Source organism: Homo sapiens, chromosome 6 (assembly GCF_000001405.40).
Source record: "Homo sapiens chromosome 6, GRCh38.p14 Primary Assembly".
In the NCBI taxonomy this organism is placed as follows: domain Eukaryota; kingdom Metazoa; phylum Chordata; class Mammalia; order Primates; family Hominidae; genus Homo; species Homo sapiens.
The window spans coordinates 160,564,287-160,577,817 of NC_000006.12; the positions used below are offsets into that span (position 1 = coordinate 160,564,287).

General features: G+C 41.1%; 1 protein-coding gene across 1 annotated transcript in view; it reads right to left on the reverse strand.

The window, feature by feature from the left end:
• LPA (lipoprotein(a)) overlaps positions 1–13,531 on the reverse strand; it is a 132,794-nt gene that overhangs the window by 32,805 nt on the left and 86,458 nt on the right. The window contains exon 28 of the mRNA NM_005577.4: positions 12,850–13,009. Within this exon, the coding sequence (NP_005568.2) occupies positions 12,850–13,009 (160 nt within the window). The remainder of the gene's footprint in view (positions 1–12,849; positions 13,010–13,531) is intronic.

The window sequence follows — 13,531 nt, forward strand, 5'->3', positions numbered from 1 at the left end:
TTGTTTGTAAAGGATTTTACTTCTCCTTTGTTATAAAGCTTAGTTTGGCTGGATATGAAATTCTAGGTTGAAAATTATTTTCTTTAAGAATGTTGAATATTCTACATCTTTCTTTGGCACTGGATGTTTCCTGCCCTTGAACATCAGACTCCAATTTCTTCAGTTTTGGAATTCAGACTGGCTTTTCTTGCTCCTCAGCCTGCAGACGGCCTATTGTGGGACCTTGTGATCGTGAGAGAGGGGAGGTTTCAAGATGGCCGAATAGGAACAGCTCCAGTCCACAGTTCCCAGCATGAGCAAAGCAGAAGATGGGTGGTTTCTGCATTTCCAGCTGAGGTACTGGGTTCATCTCACCGGGGCTTGTCAGACAGTGGGTGCAGCCCACGGAGAGTGAGCCGAAGCAAGGCGGGATATTGCCTCACCCGGGAAGTGTAAGGGGTCAGGGAATTCCCTTTCCTAGCCAAGGGAAGCCATGACAGATGTACCCGGAAAATCGGGACACTCCCACCCTAATATTGCACTTTTCCAATGGTCTTAGCAAACGGCACACCAGGAGATTATATCCTGCACATGGCTCAGAGGGTCCCATGCCCACAGAGCCTTGCTCACTGCTAGTACAGCAGTCTGAGATTGAACTGCTAGCACAGTAGTCTGAGACCGAACTGCAAGGCGGCAGCAAAGCTGGGGGAGGGGCGTCTGCCATTGCTGAGACTTGAGTAGGTAAACAAAGCGACCAGGAAGCTCAAACTGGGTGGAGCCCACCACAGCTCAAGGAGACCTGCCTGCCTCTGTAGACTCCACCTCTGGGGGCAGGGCATAGCTGAACAAAAGGCAGCAGAAACTTCTGCAGACTTAAACATCCCTGTCTGACAGCTTTGAAGAGAGTAGTGGTTCTCCCAGCAGAGAGTTTGAGATCTGAGAATGGACAGACTGCCTCCTCAAGTGGGTCCGTGACCCCCGAGTAGCCTAACTGGGGGACACCTCCCAGTAGGGGCCAACTGACACCTCATACAGCTGGGTGCCCCTCTGAGATGAAGCTTCCAGAGGAAGAATCAGGCAGCAACATTTGCTGTTCTGTAATATTTGCTGTTCTGCAGCCTCCACTGGTAATACCCAGGCAAACAGGGACTGGAGTGGACCTCCAGCAAACTCCAACAGACCTGCAGCTGAGGGTCCTGACTGTTAGAAGGAAAACTAACAAACAGAAAAGACATCCACACCAAAACCCCATCTGTACATCACCATCATCAAGAACCAAAGGTAGATAAACCACAAAGATGGGGAGAAACCAGAGCAGAACAGCTGAAAATTCTAAAAATCAGGGTGCCTCTTCTCCTCCGAAGGAACGCAGCTCCTCACGAGCAACAGAACAAAGCTGGACAGAGAATGACTTTGATGAGTTGAGAGAAGAAGGCTTCAGACGATCTGTAATAACAAATTTCTCCGAGCTAAAGAAGGATGTTCGAACCCATTGCAAAGAAGCTAAAAACCTTGAAAAAGTTTAGATGAATGGCAGACTAAAATAAACAGCATAGAGAAGACCTTAAATGATCTAATGGAGCTGAAAACCATGGCACGAGAACTACGTGACACATGAACAAGTTTCAGTAGTTGATTCAATCAAGTGGAAGAAAGGGTATCAGTGATTAAAGATCAAATGAATGAAATGAAGCGAGAAGAGAAGTTTAGAGAAAAAAAGGAGTAAAAAGAAATGAACAAAGCCTCCAATAAATATGGGACTATGTGAAAAGACCAAATCTACATCTGCTTGGTGTACCTGAAAGTGACGAGGAGAATGGAACCAAGTTGGAAAACACTCTTCAGGATATTATCCAGGAGAACTTCCCCAACCTACAAAGGCAGGCCAACATTCAAATTCAGGAAATACAGAGAATGCCACAAAAATACTCCTCGAGAAGAGTAACTCCAAGACACATAATTGTCAGATTCACCAGAAAGGTCGGGTTACCCACAAAGGGAAGCCCATCAGACTAACAGCAGATCTCTCAGCAGAAACTCTACAAGCCAGAAGAGAGTGGCAGCCAATATTCAACATTCTTAAAGAAAAGAATTTTCAACTGAGAATATCATATCCAGCCAAACTAAGCTTCATAAGTGAAGGAGAAATAAAATCCTTTACAGACAAGCAAATGCTGAGAGATTTTGTCACCACCAGGCCTGCCTTACAAGAGCTCCTGAAGGAAGCACTAAACATGGAAAGAAACAATCGGTATCAGCCACTGCACAAACATGCCAAATTGTAAAAACCATCGATGCTAGGAAGAAACTGCATCAACTAATGAGCAAAATAACCAGCGAACATCATGATGACAGGATCAAATTCACACATAAAAATATTAACCTTAAATGTAAATGGGCTAAATGCTCCAATTAAAAGACACAGACTGGAAAATTGGATAAAGAGTCAAGATCCATCAGTGTGCTGTATTCTGAAGACACATCTCACGTGCAGAGACACACATAGGCTCAAAATAAAGGGATGGAGGAAGATCTACCAAGCAAATGGAAAACAACAAAAAAAGCAGGGGTTGCAATCCTAGTCTCTGATAAAACAGACTTTAAACTAACAAAGATCAAAAGAGACAAAGAAGGCCATTACATAATGGTAAAGGGACCAATTTAACAAGAAGAGCTAACTATCCTAAATATATATGCACCCAATACAGGAGCACCTAGATTCATAAAGCAAGTCCTTAGAGACCTACAAAGAGACTTAGACTCCCACACAATAATAATGGGAGACTTTAACACCCCACTGTCAACATTAGACAGATCAATGAGACAGAAAGTTAACATGGATATCCAGGAATTGAACTCAGCTCTGCACCAAGCAGACCTAATAGACATCTACAGAACTCTCCACCCCAAATCAACAGAATATACATTCTTCTCAGCACCACATCGCACTTATTCTGAAATTGACCAGATAGTTGGAAGTGAGGCATTCCTCAGCAAATGTAAAAGAACAGAAATTATAACAAACTGTCTCTCAGACCACAGTGCAATCAAACTAGGACTCAGGATTAAGAAACTCATTAAAAACTGCTCAACTATATGGAAACTGAACAACCTGCACCTGAGTGACTACTGGGTATGTAACGAAATGAAGGCAGAAATAAAGATATTCTTTGAAACCAATGACAACAAAGACACAACATACCAGAATCTCTGGGACACATTTAAAGCAGTGTGTAGGGGGAGATTTACAGCACTAAATGCCCACAAGAGAAAGCAGGAAAGATCTAAAATTGACACCCTAACATCACCATTAAAAGAACTAGAGAAGCAAGAGCAAACACATTAAAAAGCTAGCAGAAGGCAAGAAATAACTAAGACCAGAGCAGAACTGAAGGAGATAGAGACACAAAAAAACCTTCAAAACATCAATGAATCCAGGAGCTGGTTTTTTGAAAAGATCAACAAAATTGATAGACCACTAGCAAGACTAATAAAGAAGAAAAGAGAGAAGAATCAAATAGATGCAATAAAAAATGATAAAGGGGATATCACTACCAATCCCACAGAAATACAAACTACCATCAGAGAATATTATAAACACCTCTGTGCAAATAAACTAGAAAATCTAGAAGAAATGGAAAAATTCCTGGACACATACACCCTACCAAGACTAAACCAGAAAGAAATTGAATCCTTGAATAGACCAATAACAGGCTCTGAAATTGAGGCAATAATTAAGAGCCTACCAACCAAAAAAAGTCCAGGAGAGATTCATAGCCGAATTCTACCACAGATACAAAGAGGAGCTGGTACCAATTCTTCTGAAACTATTCCAATCATAGAAAAAGAGGGAATCCTCCCTAACTCATTTTATGAGGCCAGCATCATCCTGATACCAAATCCTGGCAGAGACACAACAAAAATGAGAATTTTAGACCAACATCCATGATGAACATTGATGCAAAAATCCTCAATAAAATACTGGCAAACCGAATCCAGCAGCACATCAAAAAGCTTATCCACCATGATCAAGTTGGCTTTATCCCTGGGATGCAAGGCTGGTTCAACATATGCAAATCAATAAATGTAATCCATCATATAAACAGAACCAAAGACAAAAACCACATGATTATCTCAATAGATGCAGAAAAGGCCTTTGACAAAATTCAACAGCTCTCCATGCTGAACTCTCAATAAACTATGTATTGATGGGACATATCTCAAAATAATAAGAGCTATTTATGACAAACCCATAGCCAATATCATACTGAATGGGCAAAAACTGGAAGCATTCCCTTTGAAAACTGGCACAAGACAGGGATGCCCTCTCTCACCACTCCTATTCAACATAGTGTTGGAAGTTCTGGCCAGGGCAATTAGGCAGGAGAAGGAAATAAAGGGTATTCAGTTAGGAAAAGAGGAAGTTAAATTGTCCCTGTTTGCAGATGACATGATTGTATATTTAGAAAACCCCATCTTCTCAGACCAAAATCTCCTTAAGCTGATAAGCAACTTCAGCAAAGTCTCAAGATACAAAATCAATGTGCAAAAATCACAAGCATTCCCATACATGACTTCATGTCCTTTGTAGGGACATGGATGAACTCCCATTCACAATTGCTTCAAAGAGAATAAAATACCTAGGAATCCAACTTACAAGGGATGGGAAGGACCTCTTCAAGGAGAACTACAAACCACTGCTTAATGAAATAAAAGAGGACACAAACAAATGGAAGAACATTCCATGCTCATGGATAGGAAGAATCAATATTGTGAAAATGGCCATACTGCCTAAGGTAATTTATAGATTCAATGCCATCCCCATCAAGCTACCAATGACTTTCTTCACAGAATTGGAAAAAACTACTTTAAAGTTCATATGGAACAAAAAAGAGCATGCATTGCCAAGACAATCCTAAGCCAAAAAAGCAAAGCTGGAGGCATCACTCTGCCTGACTTCAAACTACATTACAAGGCTACAGTAACCAAAACAGCATGGTACTGGTACCAAAACAGAGATATAGACCAATGGAACAGAACAGAGCCCTCAGAAATAATACCACACATCTACAACCATCTGATCTATGACAAACCTGACAAAAACAAGAAATAGGGAAAGGTTTCCCTATTTAATACATGGTGCTGGGAAAACTGCCTAGCCATATGTAGAAAGCTGAAACTGGATCCCTTCCTTACACCTTATATAAAAATTAATTCAAGATGGATTAAAGACTTAAATGTTAGACCTAAAACCATATAAACCCTAGAAGAAAACCTAAGCAATACCATTCAGGACATAGGCATGGGCAAGGACTTCATGACTAAATCACCAAAAGCAATAGCAACAAAAGCCAAAATTGACCAATGGGATCTAATTAAACTAAAGAGCTTCTGCACAGCAAAAGAAACTACCCTCAGAATGAACAGGCAAGCTACAGAATGGGAGAAAATTTTTACAATCTACCCATCTGACAAAGGGCTAATATCCAGAATCTACAAAGAACATAAACAAATTTACAAGAAAAAAAATCAAACAACCCCATCAAAAAGTTGGCAAAGGATATTAACAGACAATTCTCAAAAGAAAACTTTTATGCAGTCAAGAGACACATGAAAAAGTGCTCACCATCACTGGCCATCAGAGAAATGCAAATCAAAACCACAATGAGATACCATCTCATACCAGTTAGAATGGTGATCATTAAAAAGTCAGGAAACAACAGATGCTAGAGAGGATGTGGAGAAATAGGAACATTTTTACACTGGTGGTGGGACTGTAAACTAGTTCAACCATTGTGGAAGACAGTGCGGTGATTCCTCAAGGATTTAGAACTAGAAATACCATTTGACACAGCCATACAATTACTGGATATATATCTAAAGGATTATAAATCATGCTGCTATAAAGACACATGCACACATATGTTTATTGCGGCACTATTCACAATAGCAAAGACTTGGAACCAACACAAACGTCCATCAATGGTAGACTGGATTAAGAAAATGTGGCACATATACACCATGGAATACTATGCAGCCATAAAGAAGGATGACTTCATGTCCTTTGTAGGGATGTGGATGAAGCTGGAAACCATCATTCTCAGCAAACTATCACAAGGACAGAAATCCAAACACCGAATGTTCTCACTCATAGGTGGGAATTGAACAATGAGAGTACATGGACACAGAGTGGGGAACATCACACACCGGGGCCTGTCATGGGATGGGGGGAGTGGGGAGGGATAGTATTAGGAGATATACCTAATGTAAATGAAGAGTTAATGGGTGCAGCACACCAACATGGCACATGTATACATATGTAACAAACCTGCACCTTGTGCACATGTACCCTAGAACTTAAAGTATAATAATAGTAAAAAAGAATGTTGAATATTGGCCTCCCACTCTCTTCTGGCTTGTAGAGTTTCTGCAGGAAGATCCACTGTTAGTCTGATGGGGTTCCCTTTGTGGGTAACCCAAACTTTCTCTCTGGCTGCCCTCAACATTTTTTTCCTTCATTTCAACCTTGGTGAATCTGACGATTATGTGTCTTCAGGTTGCTCTTCTTGAGGAGTATCTTTGTGGTGTTCTCTGTATTTCCTGAATTTGAATGTGGTATTCTCTGTATTTCCTTAATTTGAATGTTGGCCTGTCTTGCTAGGTTGGGGAAGTTCTCCTGGATAATATCCTGAAGAGTGTTTTCCAACTTGGTTCCATTCTCCCATCACTTTCAGGTACACCAATCAAACGTAGGTTCAATCTTTTCACATAGTCCCATACTTGGAGGATTTGTTCATTCCTTTTCATTCTTTATTCCTTAATCTTGTTTTCACGCTTTACTTCATTAAGTTGATTTTCAATCTCTGATATCCTTTCTTCCACTTGATCGATTTTGCTATTGATACTTGTGTATGTGTCATGAAGTTCTCGTGCTGTGTTTTTCAGCTCCCTAAGGTCATTTATGTTCTTCTCTAAACTGCTTACTGTAGTTAGCAATTCCTCTGACCTTTTTCAAGGTTCTTAGCTTCCTTGCATTGTGTTAGAACATGCTCCTTTAGCTCAGAGGAGTTTCTTATTATCTTCTGAAACCAGGACCCACTTGAGGAGGCAGTCTGTCCCTTATCAGAGCTCTAGTGCTGTGTTGGGGGATCTGGTGCTCTTTTCAGAGCTGGCAGGCAGGAAACTAAGTCTGCTGGAGCTGCACTCACAGCCACCCCTTCCTCCAGTTGCTCTGTCCCAGGGAGATGGGAGTTTTATCTATAAGCTTCTGACTGGGGCTGCTGCCTTTCTTTCAGAGATGCCCTGCCCAGAGAGGAGGAATCTAGAGAGGCACTCTTGCTACAATGGCTTTGCCAAGCTGCAGTGCACCCTGCCCAGTTCAAACTTCCTAGCGGTTTTGCTTACACTGTGAGGGGAAAACCTCCTACTCAAGCCCCAGTATTTGTGGATACCCCTCCTCCCACCAAGCTTGAGCGTCCCAGGTCAACTTCAGACTGCTGTGCTGGCAGCAAGAATTTCAAGCCAGTGGAGCTTAGCTTGCTGGGCTCCATGGGGGTGGGATCCACTGAGAAAGACCACTTAGCTCCCTGGCTTCAGCCCTTTCTTCACGGGGGTGAATGGTTCTGTCTTGCTGGCATTCCAGGGACCACTGGGGTATGAAAAAAAACTCCTGCAGCTAGCTTAGTGTCTGCCCAAATGCCAGCCCAGTTTTGGGCTTGAAATCCAGGGCCCTGGTGGTGTAGGCACCCAAGGGAATCTCCTGGTCTTCAGGTTGCAAAGACCGTGGGAAAAGCATAGTATTTGTGCCAGAATGCACTGGTCTTCACGGCACAGTCCCTCACGGCTTCCTTTGGCTAGGGGAGGGAGTTCCCTGACCCCTTCCACTTCCCAGGTGAGGTGACACCCCACCCTGCTTCAGGTCACCCTCTGTGGGCTGCACCCACTGTCTAACCAGTCCCAATGAGATGAGCCGGGTACCTTGGTTGGAAATGCAGAAATGACCCACCCTATGTGTTGATCTCACGGGGAGCGGCAGACTGGAGCTGTTCCTATTCAGCCATCTTGCCAGCCACCAACTCTTTTTGTATCCTTTAAGTGGAGCATTTAGGCCATTTAGATTCAATTTTAGCATTGAAATGTGAGGTGCCACTGCATTCATCATATTCTTTATTGCCTCCGTACTTTGGTTTTGTTTTTTGTTTTTGTTTTTTAACTTGTACTTTTGTTTTATAGGTCCTGTGTGATTTATGCTTTAAAGAGATTCTGTTTTCATGTGTTTCTAGGATTTGTTTCAAGATTTAGAGCTCCTTTTAGCAGTTCTTCTAGTGGTGACTTGGTAATGGTGAATTCTCTTAGCATTTGTTTGTCCAAAAACGACTGTATCTTTCCTTCATATATGATGCTTACTTTCGCTGGATACAAAATTCTTGACTGATAATTGTTTTGTTTGAGGAGGCTATGATAGGGCTCCAATCCTTTATAGCTTGTACAGTTCCTGCTGAAAAACTGGCTGTTAATCTGATAGGGTTTCCTTTATACATTACCTGGTGCTTCTGTCTCACAGCTCTTAAGATTCTTGCCTTCGTCTTAACTTTGCATAACCTGATGAGAATGTGCCTAGGCTAAGATCTTTTTGTGATGAATTTCCCAGGTGTTCTTTGTGCTGCTTGTATTTACATGTTCTTTGTGTTTCTTGTATTTGCATGTCTAGGTGTCCAGCAAGGCCAGGTAAGTTTTCCCCAGTTATTCCCCCAAATATGTTTTCCAAGCTTTTAGTATTGTCTTTTTCCTCAGGAGCCACGATTATTCTTATATTTGGTCATTTAACATAATCCCAGACATCTTGAAGGCTTTGTTCATATTTTCTTATCCTTTATTCTTTGTCTTTGTTGGATTGGGTTAATTTGAAGTCCTTGTCTTTGAGCTCTGAATTTATTTTTTCTACTTGTTCAGTTCTATTGCTGAGACTTTCCAGAGCATGTCACATTTCCAAAGGTGTGTCCAAAGTCTACTGAATTTTTTATTGTTTTTTTATTAAGCTATCTATTTTGTTGAATATTTCACCTTTTACTTCTTATACCTTTTTTTTTTTGGATTTCCTTGCATTGGGCTTTGCCTTTCTCTGGTCCCTCCCTGATTAGCTTAATAACTAACCTCCTGAATTCTCTTTCAGGTAAATCAGGGATTTCTTCTTGGTTTGGATCCATTGCTGGTGAACTGGGAGTGTGATGAGCCTTGTTTTGTCATATTACCAGGGTTGGTTTTCTGGTTCCTTCTCATTTGGGTAGACTGTGTCAGAGGGAAGGTAGGGCTGAAGGCTGTTGTTCAGATGTTTTTATCCCATGGGGTGTTCCCTTGATGTAGTACTCTCCCTCTTTTCCTATGGATGTGGCTTCCTGTGAGCTGAACTGCAGTGATTATTGCCTGTCTTCTGGGTCTTGCCACCTAGCAAGTCTACCCAGCTCTGGGCTGGTACTGGGGACTGTCTGTACAGAGTCCTGTGATGTGAACCATCTATGGGTCTCTCAGCTGTGGATACCAGTGCCTGTTCTGGTGGAGGTGGAGGAGGGTGCAATGGACTCCATAGGGGTTCCTAGCTTTGGTGGTTTAATGCTCTATTTTTGTGCTGGTTGGCCTCCTGCATCAGCTATACTAGTGTGGAGAGGGACTAGAGGTGGGTGGGCCCTAGAACTCCAAAGATTATATGCTCTTTGTCTTCTGCTACCAGGGTGGGTAGGGAAGGACCATCAGTTGGGGGTGGGACTAGGCGTGTCTGAGCTCAGACTTTCCTTGGGCACGTCTTACTGAAGCTTCTGTATGGTGTGGGGGTGAAGTTCCCAGGTCACTGGAGTTGTGTACCTAGGAGGATTATGGCTGCCTCTGCTGAGTCATCTGAGTTGTCGGGGAAGTGGAGGGAAGCTGTCAGTCACAGGCCTCACCCAGCACCCATGCAAACTGAAGGGCTGGTCTTACTCCCACCATGCCCCCAACCCCGCAACAGCTCCAAGTCTGTTTCCAGGTGGGGGGAAAGTCAGGCTTGAAAACTTGCCTGAGGCTTTCCACCTCCCAGCTGTGAAAGAAAAGGGCTTTAGTCCTTCCCCCACCTGTGAAGTCTGCAAACCAGATTCATGCCCTCCCCCAAGTTCTGGCCAGGAGGCTTCTCCCCCTGTTCAAATTGTTAGAAAGTTCAGGTAGAGCAGTCCTCCATGTGGAGTTTTACCCTCTGTTCCTTTGGCCACACTTCTGATGGATCTCTGTGGTGCCAGGCAGGAATGAGCTGCTTGGGGATCCAGCAAGCTCTGAGGTCTTCTCTGCTGCTTCCTCTACCCCTATATTTTGCTTGGCTCAGCTCTCTAAATTTACTGAGGCCCAGGTAAAGTTGGGAACTTCTCCTGCAAACAGACTTTCAGCTTCTCCAGTTGTGGGGTGTGTTTGAGGGAGTAAGGCCTCCCTTTTCCACTTCTGCAGTTGGGGAACTCACAGTATTTGGGGTGTCTCCCTTATCCTGCAGGAGCAGTCTGCTTCCTTCACACGGTCTGTGGGTCCTCTCAGGATTGCTGGTCTGTTCTTGCAGTCAATATGGGGCTAAAATTCACAATATGAGCCTCTGCATGCTGCTCTGTCCAGAGCTGCAATCTAGTCCTGCCTCCTGTCTGCCACGATCCCTCACCTCTTGGGTTTTTCTTCTATTACTTTAAAGATGTTACTTTATTGTTTCTGACTTTCATTGTTTCTGATGAGAAGGCATCAGTCATTTGTGTAACTGTTCCTTTATATAAACAATCTTTTTTCCTCTGGCTTATAAAATTTTCCTAGCTTTCTTTGATTTTAGACAATTTAACCAAGAAGATTTGCCAAAGTAAATCATACATTTTTACTTTTCAAAATCATATTTCTGATTGATTAGTTTTCTTGAATCTGTGAGCTTTTTTTTCTTCATATTTGGAAAGTTTTCAGCCATCATTGCTTCAGGCATTTTTTCTGTTCAAGTATCTCTTTCTTCTCTTGTGATATCTGATCACAAGATCAAATGATCATATGTATATTTTAAATGTTTTTGCTAATTCTATCATTTCTGTCATTTCTGGGTCTATTTGTATTGAATGATTTTTCTCCTGGTTATGGATCACACTAAATGCTTCTTGTATGTCTAGTAAATTTTTAAATTTATGTCACATATTGTGGATGCCAGATAACTGAGCAATTTGATTTTATTGTTTACCTATGAAGAGGTTAAGCTTTCTTCTGATGGGCAACTAATTTATGTTGAGAGGATTTTGGTCTTTCTGACTTGCTTTTCAATTTTGCTAGGATTTTTGTGGAGTAGATTTTGCTCTTAAAATACATCAACTCTGTTTCCAAAGAGTGGCTTTTCTGGGGTCTCTACTGAATGCCCAAGATTTGCAATGAGGTCTCTTTTCTAGCTGGTAAGAACTCAAATATCCCCCAGTGCTTTGTGAGCTCTGCCATCTCCATTGAACTCATTGTTCCCTTGTAGTTATTCTTTCCCCAGTAGCTGTTCTTTGTCCTACTTTCATTGTGGAATCACTCCCTGTGCATATGCAGATTTATATTACACTGAGGTGACTTCTAGGTACATGACTGTAGCTCTTTATCTCCACAAATTCTTTCTCATTATTACCAAGTGTAGAAAATCCCAGCTGCCTTTGTAATCCCAAACTCTGGTGTCTCTCAGTTCATCAAGACTGCTGTGGTCTTCTTGGGCTCCATCTCTTTTTCCTTCAATCCATGATGAAATACAGCACACTTATGGGGTTGATCACATTTGTTTTCTGTTCTAAATTATCTCAATACACTACTATCTGTTGTGCAACTTGTGAAAACAGTATTTTCATATATTTTATAGTCATTTACTTCCAAAAGGCTGTTATGCTTATACCTGCTTTTTGTCCATGTACTTGTCCATTTTACTTTTCAGCGTTTGTGTACCTCCTGACTCTCATCCGCCTTCCTGCTTTTGCTCTTCAAGTCCTGGCAACACATGTCCTTTCAGACCACTGGTGCTTCAGGCCCAGTGTGTTTATACCTGTATGTATGTGTGTGTGTGTGTGTGTGTATATATATATATATATATATATATACATATATATATATATATATATATGTATATATATATATATATATATATATGGGTATATATATATATACACACATGCACACATATATTTGTGTGTGTAAATGAATATTCAGTTACATACCTGAATATTTATATATAAATATTTAAAATGTTATATTAAAATATATAAAAATACTCAGACATACATAGTGAAACAATATAATTTTTAATGAAATATTAAAAATATATAAATTTATGCAAAAATTTAAATATAAGTTTTATACACAAGTATATAAATATTCAGACATATATATAAATATTCAGATGTTTGTGTGTGTGTGTGTGTGTGTATATATATATATATATATATATATATACACATCTTAATTTTTTTTTTTTTACTTATTACCCATGACAAAAATGGCAAACAAACCTTCGGGAATTGAAATTTAGAATGACAGAATTGCACGAGTGAAAGATGACATTGATTTTTAGTGGGCATTGTGGAATGGTGCTGTGTTTAAGCTTTGGTCATTTATCTTCTGAGCTTTACATTAATATGACTTCGCCACTTCCGTATATTCTACTCCTTCCATAAAACTATTAGGAAAAATAGCAGGCCTAAAATTTCTCTTCTCTTAGACTCTTTGCTCAAAAGCAAAGGTCCTGAGACATTTTGCCAAAATGTGAGTCTAAGAGAAATTTGTCCCTAGGAAGTGAGCTTAAAGCATGGGTCTTCTAACCAATATTTGAGTTGGCTGTTGCTCCTCTTATGGTTTTAATCAAATACATACGCATTTGGGTAGTTTTCTGGGGTCCTCTGATGCCAGTGTGGTATCATAGATGACCAAGATTGACAGGTCCTTCCTGTGACAGTGGTGGAGGATATGCCTCGATAACTCCGTCCATCACCATGGTAGCAATCCTGGACCACAGGGCTTTTCTCAGGTGGTGCTGAAATTAAAATAAAATAAATCATACTCAGTAATTGCATGAGCAGAGAAACATGGGAGACAATTTATGTCACATACTGGACAGTAGCCTCTGAAAATTATTACTATTCTTTTTTCTACTAGTAGCAAAAGGATGTGAAAAGACCCAGTAGATTCATAGTATTCTAGAATTTTAATAAGTTCATAGAAACATTATTTTTAAATCTAAAGATAAAGAACAGAGGAGAATGCTGGACATTGGAAATTACATTCATGTGCAGCTCCATCATATGAATCTCTGCTGGTTTTCATGAGAACCACAGGGCAGAAGACCAGAATGCAATGCATTCCTTGGTGCAGGCTGTAGGAGGTGACTGGTGGTCAGTCAGGGGCCGACACAAGACCCTTGCGCATTTCCCTAGACCATTGCTCATACCAAGGCAAAAGGCTTAATCTTTTGAAAATTTGGGCAGGAAATCATCCTACATTTAGGAGTGCAGGCAAAGACTCATTGTTTCTCAAGGAGGGTTAGAGACAAACAACT